Source organism: Homo sapiens, chromosome 8 (assembly GCF_000001405.40).
Source record: "Homo sapiens chromosome 8, GRCh38.p14 Primary Assembly".
Classification (NCBI taxonomy): domain Eukaryota; kingdom Metazoa; phylum Chordata; class Mammalia; order Primates; family Hominidae; genus Homo; species Homo sapiens.
In genome coordinates this window covers 144570951-144590707 of record NC_000008.11, presented here as the reverse complement: position 1 = coordinate 144590707, position 19757 = coordinate 144570951, and the positions used below count along the sequence as shown (strand labels likewise).

General features: G+C 52.0%; 1 protein-coding gene across 6 annotated transcripts in view; it reads left to right on the top strand.

The window, feature by feature from the left end:
• Positions 1-19757, top strand: part of ARHGAP39 (Rho GTPase activating protein 39) — a 171184-nt gene that overhangs the window by 109655 nt on the left and 41772 nt on the right. For 5 of the 6 annotated variants that reach the window (XM_011517308.2, NM_001308208.2, NM_025251.3 and 2 more), the window contains one exon: positions 9431-9862. In XM_011517308.2, coding sequence (XP_011515610.1) covers positions 9431-9862 — 432 coding nt within the window. Of the gene's footprint in view, positions 1-9430; positions 9863-12627; positions 14040-19757 lie in introns of those variants that run through there. The other variant, XM_011517312.2, reaches the window with a different exon arrangement.

The window sequence follows — 19757 nt, the reverse complement described above, 5'->3', positions numbered from 1 at the left end:
TGAGATGTCACATGGTGACCGCTGCCCCCCCAGCCTTCTGCAGGCTGGCCTTGCAGTCACTCGTGTCAGGCCGTTCTCACATTGCTGTAAACACCTGATGCTGGGTATTTTATAAAGAAAAGACGTTTAATTGGCTGGTGGTTCTGCAGGCTGTGGAGGAAGCATGGCGCCAGCATCTGCTCAGCTTCTGGGGAGGCCTCAGGAAGCTTCTGATCATGGCAAAGCAGGAGCACGGGGCAGGGGAGGCACCACACACTTTAAACAACCTGATCTCACAAGAACTCACTCACAGTCGAGAAGACGGCACTGAGCCATGAGGGGTCTGCCCCGACCCAGGCACCTCCCACCAGGCCCCACCTCCAACACTGGGGATCACATCTCAACGTGAGGTTTGGGGACAAGCGTCCAAACTGTCATCACCAGTGGTCAGAAAACACAAGTGACCTGTCAGTGCCACTATACAAGGTCACCAGAGATGGCCCTGCCCCGAGCACAGTGTCAATGGCATCTTCCGGAGATGGCCCTGCCCCAACCGCAGTGTCGATGGCATCTTCTGTCAGGCCCTGTCGGGAAGGCTTCTCTGGCCTCTGTCCCACGTGCCATGTGGTGTCCCTGGTGAGCCCACCAAGCTGGCCTTGTGTTCTGCAGGATGACAGGCGAGAGACCCTTGTTGGCCTAATGTCAGCTGGGAGCATGGAGGGCTAGCAGTTGGCACCAGGGTCAGGGCGTCGTGGGCCCCGAGGCAGCAGTGACGTGTTGTTCCCTCTTGTGGGCGGGGCTCCCACGCATCTCAGCCTCTGTAGGTTCCTCACGCCCCTCTGTGCCCCTCAGCCCACAGCCCTTGTCCTAAGGCTTCTGGAGGAGGCGGGGCCTGGCCTGAGCCCCCACCTCACAGGCGCCTGGGCTGTGCCCAGGGCTGCTGATTCACACCAGAGGCAGAGTCGTGGGAGGCCTCCGAGCTCGTCTTGGGTGTCTCTGCCACAGGCTGCAGAGATGGACCTAGCTTCAGGTCCCTGAGTACGATGGCGGCGTTTGCCAGCACATGTGGGGGCCACCCTCTGCCCTGCACACTAGCCCCTCCCGGAACCTGGTTGTCCCTGGATTATGGGGTCACGGGAGTCCCTAGGGCAGAGGGCCTCGTTTGGGAGCTGGAGAGGTCTCCTGTGTTTTGGTAAAGCTGCCTCGTGGTCACCAAGTCGGTGTCCTCAGGAAGAGGAACTGGGGACTTCATTCCACCCTGTTAGTGTCAGAGGAGTTCGTCCTCCCAGGAGGGGCTTCCCGCTGCCCTGCTCTGGGCGCTCCTGTCCCCTGAGCCCCTCTGGGCCATGACTCCCTGCCCCAGGGTAGGCCCTGCCGGGACACGCCTGCATGGAGGAGCAGCTGCTGGCTCCGAAATGAGGCCGACTGTGCTACTTATATAATTTATAGAGTATAAAATTAACATTTTAAAATATGGAGACTACTTACTTTTTTTAAGCAAACTTTTTATTTTAGAACAATCTTAGATTTACGTGGAAATGGCACAGGCAGCGCAGAGCCTCTGTGTCCACTGCACCAGGGTCCTCCGGCCACCGATACCCTCGCCGTCATGCCGCCGGTGCCTTTCTGCAGTTGATGAGCCCCTGCCGGGAATTGTTACTAACGGAATCCACACCTTATGCAGACGCTTGGGTTTGCACCTGATTTCCTTTTTCTGTCCCCGGGTCCCACGTGACATTGATCCTGATGTCCCTGGGCTCCTGTGGACTTACCCTCTTCTGGCATTTGGTGACCTGCACGGCCTGGAGGAGGGCGGGCCCGGCGTTGCGTGACACGCCCCTCGCCTGGACGTGCCTGATCTTCACCACGATTCACTGGGAGGAGGACCACAGAGGCGGCGTGCTGCTCTCATGTCACGGCGCGGTGAGCACGCACAAGAGTCCTGCCCACGTTGGCCATGGTGGCCCAGCTGAGGCTGCTGAGGCTTTGCTGTGTTCCCCCGTGCCGCCGTGCTGCCTCCGGCTGTGAGTCTGACCCTCGCTGGGTTTGACGGAGACAGGCCGTGGGCTTCAGGTGGCCAGCTGGGTCCCCAGCCCTACTGGGTCTTACCTTCCCCTTCGGGCCCTGGGCCGAGTTTCTCCAGATGGCTTGGCGAGAGCCCCGCCTCCCGCACCCAGTCTGCCGCTCTCCGCGGTCCCCACAGTTCTGTCCCTGCTGCATACGGCTGCTCTTCCTGGCTGCTGAGGGAGGCTTAGGGCCACCTCCCCATAGGGTGAGGCACATTTCTCTTCCTCTGAAAACATGTTAGCTAACATACGTGTGTGCAGAGAAGTGTTCGAGGAGGTGCAGGCTCATGATGTGCCCCACCGGGCAGTCAGCCTCTGGCATCACCGTTGGTTTTGTGCCTCCATGAGCCTCAATGCAGCGCACAGCCTGCAGGCCCCTGCCTGGTTCCCTCACGCAGGATGCGTGCTCAGGAGCCCTCGGGGCGGCCCTGCTCTGTCTTGCTGGGTCTGTATGCCCTCACTCCTGCCAGGTCTTAAGCTGCAGGCCCAGGGCAACGAGTCCCCACAGTGCTGTCAACCGGCACCTGGCACACATGGCCAACCCGTGTCCCTGCCAGCAGCGTCACTGGCTCTGTCTACCCCAGCTGTTTCCGTGGGGCTGGGACCATCACCCTTGCTGGTTTTCCTCGGTGTCTCGAGCTCTGCATTTCCCTGATGGTGATGGGTGCTGCCTTCCACCTTCAGAGACTGGAGGCTGATCTGTGTAAAAATGTTTCTTCTGGCCGGGCGCGGTGGCTCACGCCTGTAATCCCAACACTTTGGGAGGCCAAAGCGGGCAGATCAGTAGTTCGAGACCAGCCTGGCCAATGTGGTGAAACCCCATCTCTACTAAAAACAAGAGTTAGCCAGGCGTGGTGGCACGTGCCTGTAATCCCAGCTACTTGGGAGGCTGAGGCAGGAAAATCACTTGAACCTGGGAGGCAGAAGTCGCAGCGAGCCGAGATCGCGCCACCGCACTCCAGCCTGGATGACGGAGCGAGACTCCGTCTCAAAAAAAAAAAAAAAAAAGTCTCTCTGCCCCTCACTCTTCCTCGTGGGGACCCAGCAGGCCTTTCCCTGCCCGCTCCCGTGTGCTCCCTCCCCAGGCCCCGTCCCATGCTGCCGGGCTTTGTCCTCTGACTATCCTGTGCTCCGTCCCTCTATCCTTCAGCATTAGTTTCTTCTTAAACCTGTATAACACGTGAATTTCAGGGATTTATTTTGACATTTTAGATTTTCCACTCAATTCTTTATACACCCTCTACATTTTCCTTCCTCTGTAGAAACTCATCTTGTCGTGAATGCCAGTCACAGCAGTGTGCATTCCACGCGTTCTGGCTCCGAACCCAGATCCCCTGAGGAGCTGCTGTAGCCTCTTTCCTTCTCTTGGTTTTGAGTTGGTTCTTCCTTGTGCTTACCTGGCTGTCACTTCTTATTTGATGCCTGTATTAGCCTGTTCTCATGCTGCAACTAAAGGCATGCCTGAGACTGGACAACTTATAAAGAAAAGAGGTTTAATTGACTTACAGTTCCGCATGGCTGCGGGCACCCAGGGAACAATCATGGTGGAAGGGGATGAAACAAGTCCTTCTTCACATGGTGGCAGGAGACAGAAGAATGAGAGCCCAGGGAAGGGGAGGCCCCTTGTAAAACCATCAGATCTCATGAGAACTCACTATCACGAGAACAGGATGGGGGAGGCCACCCCCATGATTCAGTTACCTCCACTTGTTCCCTCCCACTACACTTGGGGGTTGTGGGAACTACAACTCAGGAGGAGATTTGGGTGGGGACACAGCCAAACCATATCATTGCCCATCCTGGTGTATGAGATGGGCGTGCAGCCATGTAGGGTTGCTGATGGCTGCTGTCCTGCAGAGCAGACCGACAGCAGCCCAGGCCAGCCAGTGCCAGTGGGAACCATCCTGGGGACACTTCTGCTTCTGGGCTGTCATCCAGGCCCCCTTCCCTGGGCAGGCTCTGAGCCCTGTGTCAGCATGGGACCCGGTGCCTGGAAGTGGGTGTGGTACCTGCATCAGCCAGTTTTCTGGCCACTGCCCCAGATTGAAGCCCAGTGTCTGTGAAGGAGTCACACTCCGAGGCTGCTCCTGAGGCTGTCACTAATGGCTCAGGGGAGCCTGGGACTGCCACATGGGATCTGGCATCCTGGAGAGAGAACTGTCCCCCACACTGCGGCCATGGGAGGGATAAGACTGGAAGACACTGGGGGTGTCCTCGGCACACCCTGTGGGGCAGAGGAGAGAGGAGCCCGTCACCAAGGTGTAGCCCAGAGCCGGGAGTGATTCTGGGCAGAGGGCTGAGCTGATTGCACTTCCAGCAGTGTGAGAAACGTCATGGAAGGAAGTCCTGTTGTGGCCACTGCTGGCTGAGAATCAGCCCTGAGGCCGGGCACGGTGGCTCACTCCTGTAATCCCAACACTTTGGGAAGCCAAGGCGGGCAGATCACTTGAGGTCAGGAGTTCGAGACCAGCCTGGGCAACATGGTGAAACCCCATCCCTACTAAAAATACAAAAAAAATAGCCAGCTGTGGTGGCATACACCTGTAATCCCAGCTACTTGGGGGACTGAGGCAGGAGAACTGCTTAAACCTGGGAGGTGGAGGTTGCAGTGAGCTGAGATCACACCACTGCACTCCAGCCTGGGTGACAGAGCAAGACTCTGTCTCCAAAACTAAAAAACTACCCTGAGTCACGGGGGTCAGGTAACAAGAGTGGAGAGCCTGGCTGAGCCATGGGGGTGCAGGGATGCCCCATCTGTCCCTCGGGGAGAGCCGGCTCCAGGGGGAAGGCAGGGCACCCGTCCAGCCCCTTTCAACAGTTGCCATTTTTATTTGTGTGATCCTTGGATTCTCTTTCTCATTTAAATTATGGGCCCTGCAGGGGCCCATGAGGGTTGAGATTTAAGAGCATGGTGTGTACAGCCGACTGCCACAACCAGCGACATCCTCGGGAGGCCCAGGCTGCAGCGCGTGGCACCATGGGCGGGAGGTCCTGGCCCCGCCAAGCCTGAATCCTCTCTCCCTAGAGTGCTGAGCTGTGGGGGTTCGAGGTGCACCATGTTGGTGTCCCTGTGTTTCTAACGATGGGAGTCATTGACACTTTGTATCATGGGCTGAGGCCAAGGGTTGTCTCCAGGGAGAGTTGCCCTGGAGCTAAGGGCAAGAGAGTGCACGAGGGGAAGCCAGTGCTGGGAACCCTTGGCTGGCCCCTCCAGGTTCTCGGTGAGCCGGTGCTGGGTACCCCTGGCTGGCCCCTCCAGGTTCTCGGTGAGCCGGTGCTGGGAACCCTTGGCTGGCCCCTCCAGGTTCTCGGTGAGCTGGTGCTGGGAACCCCTGGCTGGCCCCTCAGGTTCTCTGTGGTGATTTGGGATGTCCATGGAGAGAAGGAAGGGAGACAGGTGAGGCCCTTGGGAAGAAGAGTGAGTCTGCCATTGCATCTGGAGCTGGGACCGGCAGAGGCTTCTGGGGGGTCCCAGTTCTCCCTGCTGTGGGGTTTCCCTTAATGGTCCTGTGAAAGCAGAGAGGGACACAGGGCCAATCGGGAGAGGGCGTCTAAGCCCTTCAGACACCTGGACGAGTGGAGGGAGACACCTTGGCTCTGGGTGGAGACCAAAGTTCCACTGAGATGCCTGGTTCTCCTTAAATCCATCCACAGGCTCCTTGCAGAGCCAACAAAGAGGTGATTCTCAGTTTCACAGAGAAGAACCAAGGGTCAAGAATGGCTTTGACATATGCCTGAAGCATGCCTGAGGGAGAGGAGTGTGTGGCTTTGGACCAACTTTACAAAGCCACGTAACTAAGACACCGCTCAGGCAGACAGAGATGGATGGATCAGCAAAGCCAGCTGGGAGCTCAGACACACTTACAGAAACTCGATTTATTCTATTTATTTATTTATTTAGAGACAGAGTCTCGCTCTGTCACCCAGGCCTGAGTGCAGTGGCGTGATCTCAGCTGCCTGCAACCTCTGCCTCCCGGGTTCAAGGGATTCTCCTGCCTTGGCCTCCCGAGTAGCTGAGATTACAGGTGCACGCCACCACACCTGGCTAATTTTTGTATTTTTAGTAGAGACGGGGTTTCACCATGTTGACCAGGCTGATCTCAAACTCCTGACCTCAGGTGATCCACCTGCCTGGGACTCCCAAAGTGCTGGGATTACAGGCCTGAGCCACCGCACCTGGCCAGAAACTCAATTTAAGATAGAGCTCCCATTGTCCATCACTGAGGAAACAAAGCTATTTAACAAGCTATCCTAAGATCCCTTTCTATCCATATGGGAAAATGAAATTTCACACAGTAAACAAAAATCAGTGCAGGCAGATTAATGACTTCAGTGTGAAAAGCAACTGAAGTGCACCCACCATGCCCGGCTAATTTTTGTGTTTTTTGTAGAGATGGGGTTTCACCACGTTGCCCAGGCTGGTCTCAAACTCCTGAGCTCAAGTGATCCGCCTGCCTTGGCTTCCCAAATTGCTGGGATTACAGGCATGAGCCACCGCACTTGGCCAGTTAATCTCTTTTAATATTTGGCTTTAGACTTCCAGTAATTTTCTAGACAACTATATACATGTAAACACATATGCCACTTTTAAAAATAAAGCTATATAACTTTATCTCATTATAAACTGTGACAGTCCTTCCTTGTCATTAAGTTTGCATTTGAATTAAAACACCCCTGCGGGGAGATACCGTTTATCCCCTTGAGTGATGTGCTGGACAGGCCAATATAAGAGTGCAGATGCTTCAGGGAAACATTGCCCACTAAATCCTTAACACTTTAAAACTGGACACTTGGAAAGATTCATTGCATGTCATACATGGAATATGCACCATTTTATAGGAAGATAATATGTGGGTTTTTTTTCCAATGACAGTAGTAATCTTGTGAATATTGTGGAACACTTGGAAAATACAGAAAAATAGAAACCTCTGTAACCTGCCACCCCCACAACAGCACCGCCAACATGACAAATTCTTGATCGTGTGACTCTCAGAATAGAATTCCAGCCAGCAAGGGTGACGGTGTGCTGGCCAGCTCAGTGGAGCACGCAGGCAGGAAGCATCCATGGTGCTCAAAGTCGTGGGTTAAAGTGGAGGAGAAACAGGATGTCAGGGGCCTTACGGGATCCCCACGAGATCCTCGTAGCTGGGGAGACGGCACAGGATGCTACGGTGGGGAACCTTAGTGGGCACCCAGTCCCGCCCGGGCCGTGGGCAGACCCCGTCTGTGCCTCCACGTGCCGAGCAGTTGTCTCCTGAGCTGCTCACCCCACAATGCGTGCGCCACTTCCTGTTGCGGTTTCAGGGAGGTGACACGCGGTGAATCTGGGTGAAGGCTGTTAACCTTTTTGAAAATATGAAATTATAAAACAAAAAGTTAAAACTTTAAAAATAAAAGGAAGAGAACATGATCAGTGGTATCAAAAGTGGCACAGCTCCCTCGGGACTGAAAGGTGCTGCCTAGATTTGTTCGTCAGGAGCGACTGGGGGACCCACTGTGGGCTGGGAGGGAGGGGCTGGGCAGCTATTGGTGCCTGGCGAGACCCCGGGCTGAGAAGGGAAAGCACGGACCAGAGCGGGGGTGGCCCCTGTTGCGTGTGGTTTGCTGGACGGTGGACGGTGGAGTGGGTGTGTACGCCAAGGGTGTGGCGAGACATGCAGGTGGAAGTTCAGAGTCTGGGGCCTGTGGAGGGTCTGAGCCGAGCAAGCCGAGGCATTTGTTTGGGGGGAGTTGTTGGCAGATGTACTCAAGCTGAGCAAAACAACAGGACCCCCACCACCTCGCCTTCCCACGGGGATGACGGTGAAACATCCACAGGCGGGCCTCAGGAGTTCTCATCTGCCTTCCCCTGCAGCCCTCCACCACCAGCCCATCCCCAGGGTGCCCCTTCTCTCACTGGCCCTCCTTCATTGGACTTCTGAGTGCACCACTGTGGTGTCTGCACTCAGGCCCAGTCCCACCCGCCTCATCCTCCTCCTGCAGCCAGACCCCTGAGCCAGCTCCTTCCCCACGTAAGGCCCTGAGCACGCCCACCTCATGGCCCCACGTGGACTGTCCCTCGGTGCCTTCTGCCTGTGGCATCCAAACACAGAGGAGCAAACAGTGCCCAGTGGCCAGGGCCTGAAGGAGGGCTTGGGTGGCAAGGCCTGTTTCTCAGCTGCTCATCTGCATCAGCAAGAAACAGACCCAGAACCCCCAGGGCTGCTGCTGGGGCCGCCGCCACTGTGTGAGGGCCCGGCTTCCCCAGCTGGCCTCTGGGGGTGGCGGGGACAGACTCCGCCTGGATCCTTGGTGTCCTACGAGCAGGTGTGGTGCGCATCACAGCCTGTTTTCAGAGCCGCCGTGTCCCTGGCCTGGTTTCAAAGGGTGGGACGTGGGATGAAGGTCGCCCCCGCAGCCAGTCTGCGCCGGCCGCCAGGGGGGCTCTTTCTGTCCTTGACCTGGGGGAGCCGCAGGCAGCCCCCACTAGCCCGTGTCTGGGCCTGGTGTCCGCTGGCCCTTCTGCCCTCACCACTTGCCTCCCCTTCTGTTGAGCCCCTGGGATTAGTGCATTTTCCCTGGAAACGAGACCCCTCACCAGCCCGGTGATGGCGAGGACCAGGCCTGTCGCAGGGCTAACGAGACACCTCACCAGCCCGGTGATGGCGAGGACCAGGCCTGTCGCAGGGTTAAGAGACGGATGCATGGGTCCATGGGAACGCCTCCTGGCAGCATCTTTGCTGAGAGGCTCTTGGTGCCTCTAAGGGTTTTTGTTTCCGTGTAGAAACATGGAAGAGGCCTCAGAAACGTTACTGAGCTGGAGGCTGTGCCCCCAGCGGGGGTCTGAGGGCCGGGTGGAGACTCTGCCCCCCATCGGGGGTCTGAGAGCCAGCTGGGCCCTTGGCCTTGCTGATCTGGGGGATCCTTGGGAGAACACAGCTTGGGAGTCCAGCAGCACTTAGCTGGGCCTGAGGCCCCTCCAGACCCCGACCCAGTGTGGAGGTGGCGGTCCAGTTGCAGCGGAGGGGCTACTGAGCAGGTGTGCAGTGATGACTCGCAGGCCTGTGCCACGATCCTGCAGGACGGAGCAGTGGGCAGTGAGGTTGTGGCCTGGGTGCCTGTGAGGACAGGAGCCTGCAACCACAGCCAGTATGTCCCTACCCCACGTGGGGCCCAGGACCCCCCAAAGGGCTGCACCACCCTGAGGCGCTGGCGGCTCCGGGGGCTTCCCCGGTTGCGGGTGCTCAGGAGCACAGCAGTCAGGGGCGGACTGGGCTTGGGTTTGCTTTCCTCTATGACAGGATTTCTGGGTTTCGCAGCTGGGGCTGGAGCCGGGGTCTGCAGGGGTGGGAGGCGCGGGCCCAGGCCGCCGTGGCTCCAGCCGCCTTAACCCTGTCTCTCCCCAGGTTGGAGTGGGTGGAGATCATCGAACCGCGCACCCGCGAGCGCATGTACGCCAACCTGGTCACCGGTGAGTGCGTGTGGGACCCGCCGGCCGGCGTCCGCATCAAGCGCACCAGCGAGAACCAGTGGTGGGAGCTGTTCGACCCCAACACGTCCCGCTTCTACTACTACAATGCCAGCACGCAGCGCACGGTGTGGCACCGGCCGCAGGGCTGCGACATCATCCCGCTGGCCAAGCTGCAGACGCTGAAGCAGAACACGGAGTCCCCGCGCGCCTCGGCGGAGAGCAGCCCCGGGCGCGGCAGCAGCGTCAGCCGTGAGGGCAGCACCAGCTCCTCCCTGGAGCCCGAGCCCGACACTGAGAAAGCGCAGGAGTTGCCAGCGAGGGCCGGGCGGCCCGCGGCGTTTGGGACAGTGAAGGAGGACAGCGGCAGGTGAGGGCGGGGGCAGCTGCTATGGGCGGGGCCAGGTGAATGGAGTGGGCGGGGCCAGGTGAGGCAGGTAGGGGGTGGTGGGCGGGGCCAGGTGAGAGCGGGACTGGTGAAGGTGGTGGGCGGGGCCAGGTTAGGAGTAGGTCGGGTATGGTGGGCGGGGCCAGGTGAGTGGAATGGGCGGGGCCACGTGAGAGCGGGACTGGTGACGGTGGTGGGCGGGGCCAGGTGAGGAGTAGGTCAGGTATGGTGGGCAGGGCCAGGTGAGGGCGGTGGGCGGGGACCCAGGGGACTCAGTGTCCCCGCGAGTGGCCAGAGCCTCGTCCTTGGCTGTAGCAGCCACCGCTGCTGTCCCCAGTGAGCACTTTCTTGTCTCTCTGGGCAGCAGAGCCTGGCGCTCAGCCTCAGAGGGTTCTGGGTCCTCCAACCCTGCCCCTCACTGGCCCAGCCCCTGGCAGGTGGTGGTTCCTGAGAGCAGTGTCTGAGGGGCTCGCCCAGCTCTCTCTGCTGATGGGAGATGCAGATGTGGGGATTTGCGTGCGGGCGTGGGGTGTGTGGACCTAGGGGGACCCAGGTGGAGGGTGTAGATCAGTGTGGACACAGCTGAGGGGTCTGAGCAGGCTTGGAGGTGGTCCTCTGGAGTCACAGTGGCTCCGAAGGAGCACAGCCTGTGTTGGTGGGAGCCCAGGAGACCCCTGCCCTCAGAAACAGGGAGAGGTCAGGGTAGAGCGCAAGGGCCTCGAGGTGAGTGCACCGTGGGAAGCGAGTCCAGAGAGGACGGTGGGGAAGAGCCGAGGCAGGCGGGCAGGACAGTGGGGAAGGGCTGAGGCAGGCGGCAGGCCAGCAGGACAGTGGGGAAGAGCCGAGGCAGGGACAGGAGGCTGGGGCTTCCCAGAGCCCAGGCTGTGGCCCAGGGCAGACAGGCCTGGCCACTGCAGGGGCGGATGGAGGCCACTCTGGAGAGGATGGAGGAGAGGCTGGACCCCAGGGAGAGAAAGGCAGGGGATTGGTCTCCCCCAGTACCAGATTTTCGGTGCTTGGCTGAGGTTGCCAGGGGAGCTGAGGCCCAGGGGCTTTCTGCAGAGGTGGGAAGGAGCGTGTTGGACTGCCGGGCTCATCTGAGGCTTCAGAAGAGGGATTCAGAGTGAACCACAGAGCTCAGAGGACAGCAGGCTTCCGTCCCACCGTGCCGAGGTGCAGGCACAGAGGGAGGCGGGCAGCAGGTTCATCCCGTGGACCCGGTCTGGCAGGATGAAAGGGAGGCCAGGGATGGGGCCTGCTGCAGAGTGGGCAGGAGGTGGGGCAAATCAGGTGTGGAGGAGCCACTGGAGCACACCGGGAAGACGGTGTTGGTGTCGGTATTCAGGGCAGGGTGAGCAGCGGAGGCTCGGGCGTGGCGTGGGTGAGCGAGCGGTGCAGAAGGCGGGCACAAAGAGGACCAGGGCCTACATTTCACATCCCACCAGCAAATATGAGGGTTCAAAGTTATCCACGGCCTTGCCAACACTACTTGCTTTCCTTTTTAGATTTCTTTTAGCTATTGTAGCCACTGTGAAATGTCTCATTGTAGTTTTGGTTTGCATTTCCTTAATGACTAATGACTTTGAGCCTTTTTTCACTTTCTTTTTTTTTTTTTTTTTTTTTTTTGAGACAGAGTCTCGCTCTGTCGCCCAGGCTGGAGTGCAGTGGCACGATTGCTGCTCACTGCAAGTTCCGCCTCCCGGGTTCACACCACTCTCCTGCCTCAGCCTCCCGAGTAGCTGGGACTACAGGCACCTGCCACCACGCCCAGCTAATTTTTTGTGTTTTTAGTAGAAACAGGGTTTCACCATGTTAGCCAGGATGGTCTTGATCTCCTGACCTCGTGATCCACCCACCTCCCAAAGTGCTGGGATTACAGGCATGAGCCACCACGCCTGGCCCCTTTTTTCACTTTCTTGATGGTATCATTTGAAAAACAAAGGTTTTTGTTGTTTTTGTTTTGTTTGTTTGTTTGTTTGTTTTTGAGACAGGGTCTCTCTTTGTCTCTGGGGCTGGAGTGCAGTGGTGCAATCTCACTGCAGCCCTCACCTCCCGGGCCCAGTGACCTCCCACCTCAGACCCCCAAGTATCTGGGACTGCAGGCACGTGCCACCACACCAGGCTAATTTTTGTATTTTTTTTGTAGAGATTGGGGTTTCACTATGTTGCCCAGGCTGGTCTCCAACTCCTGAGCCCAGGCAGTATGCCCACCTATGCCTACCAAAGCACTGGGATTACAGACATGAGCCAAAGTACATGAGCCAAAGTGTGCATGGCCAAAGTACAAAGTTTTTAATTTTGGCCAAGAAAAGTGGCACACGCCTGTAATCCCAGCACTTTTCAAGGCCAAGGAAGGCAGGAGTTTGAGGCCAGGAGTTTGAGACCAGCTTGTCCAACGTGGCAGAACCCTGTCTCTACTAAAAGTACCAAAATTAGCTGGGAGTGGTTGTTCACACCTGTAATCCCAGCTACTCGGGTGGCTGAGGCAGGAGAATCACTTGAAGCCAGGAGGTGGAGGTTGCAGTGAGCCGAGATCGCACCACTGTACCCCAGCCTGGGTGACAGAGCAAGACTTTGTCTCAAAAACAAACAAACAAAAATTGACCTGTCATAGATTTGGGTTCATTTCTGGCCTCTCAATTGATTTGCATTGATCCATATCCCAGTACCACATTGTTTTGATCACTGTAGCTTTGTAATAAGTTTTGAAACTGGAAAGTGTGAGTCTTCCAGCTTTATTCTAATTTTTCAAGGTTGTTTTGGCTATTTGGAGCACCTTGCAATTCCACAAGAATTTGGGGATTGGCTTTTTCATTTCTTTTAACAACAACAAAAAAAAAGCTTTTGGAATTTTGGATCTGTGTGGGGGATTGTGTTGGATCTGTAAGCTGATATTTCATCCAAGCAATATTAATTTTCTAATCCATGAACAGAGGATGTCTTTTCATTTGCTTATGTCTGATTTTTCTTAGCAGTGTTTTATATTTTCTAGTTTACAGTCCTTTCACCTCCCTGGTAAAGTTTCTTCCTAGATATGTTATTCTTTTTGATGCTGTTGTAAGTGGAATTTTTTGTTTGTTTGTTTCTGGATTGTCCATTGTGGTGTATGGAAACATAACTGATTGTGTGTTGATCTTGTATTGTGCAACTTTGCTGAATTTCTGTATTAGCTGTAGTAACCTTCGTTTATAATCTCTGGGATTTTCTATATATAGGACTATGTCATCTGTGGTTAGTGATAGTCTAACATCTTCCTTTCCAATTTGGATGCCTTTTTCTTCTCCTTAACTGATTGCCCTGCATAGGATTTCCAGTGCAGTGTTGAATGGCAGTGGTGAAGGGGCATCCTTGTTCTGCTCCTGATCTCGGGGAAAGCTTCCAGTCTTTTCTATTGAGCAAGTTCCTTGATACTCCTTGTGTTCCCAGTGGTTTTATCATGTGGATTTTGTCAATGCCTTTTCTGTATCAGTTAAGATGATCACGTGGTTTCTCTCCTTCAGTCTATCTGTCAGTGTGGTGTTTTACACTGGTTGGTCTCATGTTGAACCGGCCCTGAGCGTGTATTCCGGTTGTCACAGCAGCATCTGTGTGCTTTTGAAAAACAGAGGAACCTCCCTGTGGGCTTTCATATGATCCATGAAACCCACGTGAGCAATCTCATGCCTGCAGTTAAACACACACCAGAGCAGGCCAGGAGTCCTTGGCCCTCCAGCGGCATTTCCCAAAGGAGATGATACTGAAAGGTACAGAATTTAGACTGTTGTAGAGGTTAAGGAATAAAAGACATTCGTGGCGTGTACAGGTGGAGCTCCGTGGAAAGGTGACTGCAGCATCTGGTTTATGGTTTAAATGGCATAAGTGAAAAACAAACCTGTTGGTTTGCTGTAAATACTGACTGCAGTTAAATCCTATGGTCCCTCTGGAGAACAACTTCTCCCAGCCAGAGACGGGCAGGAGCTCATCTTGCACAAGTCGAAGCCAGATTTTGAGAATCGTGAATCATTTTAAGAAACAAGCGGACGAGCGGACTTGGCGTTAACATTTTAAAAATAACTCTCCCTCAAGAGCCTGTGCTGTGCTGCTGCGCTGGAACCTCCGGCTTCCTCTCACTGAACAGAATGGACGGCTTCGGGCCTGCGCAGAACTTCTCAGAGAATTGGTATTGGATTATCATAATTTTGAATTTGTTATTCGTTTTGACTCGTCTCTGCAATTAGGTGGAGGAATTGGTTTCTTTTTGTGATTCTCTTTTCAAAATGTGTCAGTCACCCACACTTGCGGGGCTGTTCTTCCCCAGAGAGGCCGTGGGTCTGGCCTTAGCCCTGCCCTGTCACCCATGGCTCAGGGCCCACTCTCTGGGGACTGGAGTGTCCATCTCTTCTCAAAAATGTCTCAGGAATGCTGGGGTGATGTGGGGCTATTGGGGCCAGGACTTCCATGAGAAGCTCTGTGGGAGGTTTTTTTTCGTTCTTTTTTTTTTTTTTTTTTTTTTTTTGAGACGGAGTCTCACTCTGTCGCCCAGGCTGGAGTGCAGTGGTGCAATCTCGGCTCACTGCAACCTCCGCCTCCCAGGTTCAAGCAATTTTCCTGCCTCAGCCTCCCGAGTAGCTGGGACTTCAGGCGCCCACCACCACACCTGGCTAATTTTTGTATTTTTAGTAGAGACACGGTTTCACCATGTTGGTGGCTGGGCTGGTCTCGATCTCTTAACCTCATGATCTGCCCACCTCACCCTCCCAAAGTGCTGGATTACAGGCGTGAGCCACCATGCCCGGCCACTCTGTTGGGATTTTGACTAGAATTGCGTTGAATTATGGATTAGTTTGGGTAGATAGATGTCTTTATAATACAGTCACGTGCCACGTAACATTTCCATCAGCAGCACACTGCATATATGAGAGTGGTCTCATAGATTATAATGGAGCTGAAAAGGTTCTATGACCTACCATGGTTGTGTGCAACACCGTACTCGCAAGTCTGTGGTGATGCTGGCGTAGACAGACCTGCTGCACTGCGGTCCTACAGAGGAGCAGCACGTGTGGTTATGAACCGTGCATAGTGCTTGACCATGATGATGATACGTGACTATGTCGCTGGTTTGTGTATTCACTATACCATAGTTTTTATCATTTAGCGTGCACTTAAAAAAAAAATGTTAGCTGGAAACACCCTCAGGTGGGTCCTTCTGGAGGTGTCCAGAAGGCGGCGCTGTTGTCTCAGGAGGTGATGGCTCCACGTGTGTTGCTTTCTCCCAGGACACCATGTGGCAATGGGAAGACGGTGGTGTTGATGATCCTGAGCATGGGTAGGCCTAGGCTAGTGTGTGTGTTTGTGTCGTAGTTTGTAACAAAAAGTCAGTTTAAGAAATTTTAAATTAAAAAAGCTTATAGAATAAGAATGTAAAGAAAGAAAATATTTTGTATAGTTGTACAATGTGTATGTTAAGCAAAGTGTTCTAAAAGACTCAAAAAGTTTAAAGAAACTAAAAAGGTTATAAAGTAAAAAAGTTACAGTAAACTAAATTTATTACTGATGAAAGAAGAAGTTTTAAATGAATTGAGTGTGGCCGAAGTGTACAGGGTTGTCAAGTTAGGAGTTGTGTGCAGTGATATCCAGGGCTCACTCACCGACACGCACGGCAACTGCCAGTCCTGCAAGCTCTGTTCCTGGTAAGTGCCCAGTACAGGTGTGCCATTTTTTATCTTTTATACCATATTTTTACTGTACCTGTTCTATGTCTAAATATGTTTAGGCACACAAATACTCACCATTGTCTTACAATGGCATTTAGCATTCGGCACAGTAATGCTGAGGTGTGTAGCCTGGGGGCAATAGGCTACACCATATAGCCTGGGTGTGTAGCAGGCCTTACAGCCTGCATGTGTATAACTGTACTCTTGGATGTTCACACAGTGACAAAATTGCCTGATGACGTGTTTCTCAGAACACATCTGTGTTATTAAGTGATGCCTGACTGTAAAATCTCCTGCACATGTGAAGACGGTATGAAATGGCATAATCATGGCTCACTGCAGCCTTCAACTCCCAGGCTCAAGCAATCCTACCTCAGCCTCTTGAGTAGCTGAGACTACAGGTGTACACCACCACACCAAACTAATTTTTTTATTTTTTATTATTATTATTTTTTGTTTTTGAGACGGAGTCTCGCTCTGTCGCCCAGGCTGGAATGCAGTGCCGCAATCTCAGCTTACTGCAAGCTCCGCCTCCTGGGTTCACGCCATTCTCCTGCCTCAGCCTCCCGAGTAGCTGGGACTACAGGTGCCCGCCACCACACCCAGCTAATTTTGTTTTTGTATTTTTAGTAGAGATGGGGTTGCACCGTGTTAGCCAGGATGGTCTCGATCTGCTGACCTGGTGATCTGCCCGCCTCGGCCTCCCAAAGTGCTGGGATTACAGGCATGAGCCACCACACCCAGCCTAATTTTTTTATTTTTTATAGAAATAGGCTAATGCCATGTTGCCCAGTCTGGTCTGGAACTCCTGGCCTCAAGTGATCCTCCCACCTCGGCCTCCTAAAATGCTGGGATTATACGTGTGAGACACTGCACCTAGCCCAGCCCACTTTTAAATATTTTCAGTTTTTAATTATGATTTCTTCTTCCCCCTCCTCCTCCTCCTCCTCATCTTCATCTTCTTCCCTTTTTTTTTTTTTTTTTTCTGTCACCCAGGCTGCAGTACAGTGGTGCAATCTCAGCTTCCTTCACCTCCTGGGTTCAAGCAATTCTCGTGCATCAGCCTCCTGAGTAGCTGGGATTACAGGGGGGCGCCACCATGCCTGGCTGATTTTTGTATTTTTAGTAGAGACGAGGTTTTGCCATGTTGGCCAGGCTGGTCTCAAACTCTTGGTCTCAAGTGATCTGCCTGCCTCAGCCTCCCAAAGTGCTGGGATTATAGGCATGAGCCACCACTCCCAGCCTAATTATGATTTATTCTTTGACTCATTTGTAATTTATAAATATCTTCATTTCCAAAACTACAGTTTATTTTTCGTTTTCGTTCTTGATTGCCAACTTAAGGAAAGCATAATTTTTTTATTTTTTTGAGACTTGCTTTGTGGGCTAATTCATAAATTTTTGTAAATGATTTTATGACTCCTTCAAAAGGATAATTTCTGTTTTCTTTTTGTTGTGCCCAGAGTTCTGCATATGTTAATTAAATGAAATCTATTATGTAAATCAAGTTTCATCCTTTTTTTATTTTTATTTTACTTTAAGTTCTAGGGTACATGTGCACAACGTGCAGGTTTGTTACATAGGTATACATGTGCCATGTTGGTTTGCTGCACCCATTAACTTGTCATTTACATTAGGTATTTCTCCTAACGCTGTCCCTCCCCCAGCCCCCCACCCCCCAACAGGCCGTGGTGTGTGATGTTCCCCGCCCTGTGTCCAAGTGTTCTCATTGTTCATTTCCCACCTATGAATGAGAACATGTGGTGTTTGGTTTTCTGTCCTTGTGATAGTTTGCTCAGAATGATGGTTTCCAGCTTCATCCATGTCCCTGCAAAGGACATGAACTCATCCTTTTTATGGCTGCATAGTATTCCATGGTGTATATGTGCCACATTTTCTTAATCCAGTCTATCATTCATTGTTGGACATTTGGGTTGGTTCCAAGTCTTTGCTATTGTGACTAGTGCTTCAATAAACACACATGTGCATGTGTCTTTTTTAGTAGCAAGATTTATAATCCTTTGGGTATATACCCAGTAATGAGATGGCTGGGTCAAATGGTATTTCTAGTTCTAAATCCTTGACGAATTGCCACACTGTCTTCCACAATGGTTGAACTAGTTTACAGTCCCACCAACAGTGGGACATCCTCTCCAGCACCTGTTGTTTCCTGACTTTTTAATGATCGCCATTCTAACTGGTGTGAGATGGTATCTCATTGTGGTTTTGATTTGCGTTTCTCTGATGGCCAGTGATGAGCATATTTTCATGTGTCTGTTGGCTGCATAAATGTCTTCTTTTGAGAAATGTCTGTTTATATCCTTTGCCCACTTTTTGATGGGGTTGTTTTTTTCTTGTAAATTTGTGTAAGTTCTTTGTAGATTCTGGATATTAGCCCTTTGTCAGATGGGTAGATTGCAAAAATTTTCTCCCATTCTGTAGGTTGCCTGTTCACTCTGATGGTAGTTTCTTTTGCTGTGCAGAAGCTCTTTAGTTTAATTAGATCCCATTTATCTATTTTGGCTTTTGTTGCCATTGTTTTTGGTGTTTTAGTTATGATGTGCTTGCCCATGCCTGTGTCCTGAATGGTAATGCCTAGGTTTTCTTCTAGGGTTTTTATGGTTTTAGGTCTAATATGTAAGTCTTTAATCCATCTTGAATTAATTTTTGTATAAGGTGTAAGGAAGGGATCCAGTTTCAGCTTTCTACATATGGCTAGCCAGTTTTCCCAGTACCATTTATTAAATAGGGAATCCTTTCCCCATTTCTTGTTTTTGTAAGGTTTGTCAAAGGTCAGATGGTTGTAAATGTGTGGTGTTATTTCTGAGGCCTCTGTTCTGTTCCATTGATCTATAGCTCTGTTCTGGTACCAGTACCATGCTCTTTTGGTTACTGTAGCCTTGTAGTATAGTTTGAAGTCAGGCAGCATGATGCCTCCAGCTTTGTTATTTTTGCTTAGGATTGTCTTGGCAATGTGGGCTCTTTTTTGGTTCCATCTGAACTTTAAAGTAATTTTTTCCAATTCTGTGAAGAAAGTCATTGGTAGCTTGATGGGGCATTGAATCTATAAATAACCTTGGGCAGTATGGCCATTTTAATGATATTGATTCTTCCTATCCATGAGCATGGAATGTTCTTCCATTTGTTTGTGTCCTCTTATTTCGTTGTGCAGTGGTTTGTAGTTCTCCTTGAAGGGGTCCTTCACATCCCTTGTAAGTTGGATTCCTAGGTATTTTATTCTCTTTGTAGTAATTGTGAATGGGAGTTCACTCATGATTTGGCTGTCTGTTATTGGTGTATAGGAATGCTTGTGATTTTTTCACATTGATTTTGTATTCTGAGACTTTGCTGAAGTTGCTTATCAGCTTAAGGAGATTTGGGGCTGAGACAGTGTGTTTTTCTAAATATACAATCATGTCATCTGCAAACAGGGACAATTTGACTTCCTCTTTTCCTAATTGAATACCCTTTATTTCTTTGTCTTGTCTGATTTCCATGGCCAGAACTTCCAACACTATGTTGAATAGGAGTGGTGAGAGAGGGCATCCTTGTCTTGGGCCAGTTTTCAAAGGGAATGCTTCCAGTTTTTGCCCATTCAGTATGATATTGGCTGTGGGTTTGTCATTATTTATGGCTCTTATTATTTTGAGATACGTCCCATCAATACCTAGTTTATTGCGAGGTTTTATCATGAAGCGCTGTCGAATTTTGTTGAAGGCCTTTTCTGCATCTATTGAGATAATCGTGGTTTTTAGGTTTTGTCGATTGTTCTGTTTATGTGATGGATTACATTTGTTGATTTGCGTATGTTGAACCAGCCTTGCATCCCAGGGATGAAGCTGACTTGATCGTGGTGGATAAGCTTTTTGATGGTGGTGGATTCGGTTTGCCAGTATTTTATTGAGGATTTTCGCATCGATGTTCACCAGGGATATTGGTATAAAATTCTCTTTTTTTTGTTGTGTCTCTGCCAGCCTTTGGTATCAGGATGATGGTGGCCTTATAAAATGAGTTAGGGAGGATTCCCTCTTTTTCTGTTGATTGGAATAGTTTCAGAAGGACTGGTACCAGCTCCTCTCTGTACCTCTGGTAGAATTCGGCTGTGAATCCGTCTGGTCCTGGACTTTTTTTGGTTGGTAGGCTATTAATTATTGCCTTAATTTCAGAGCCTGTTATTCGTCTAT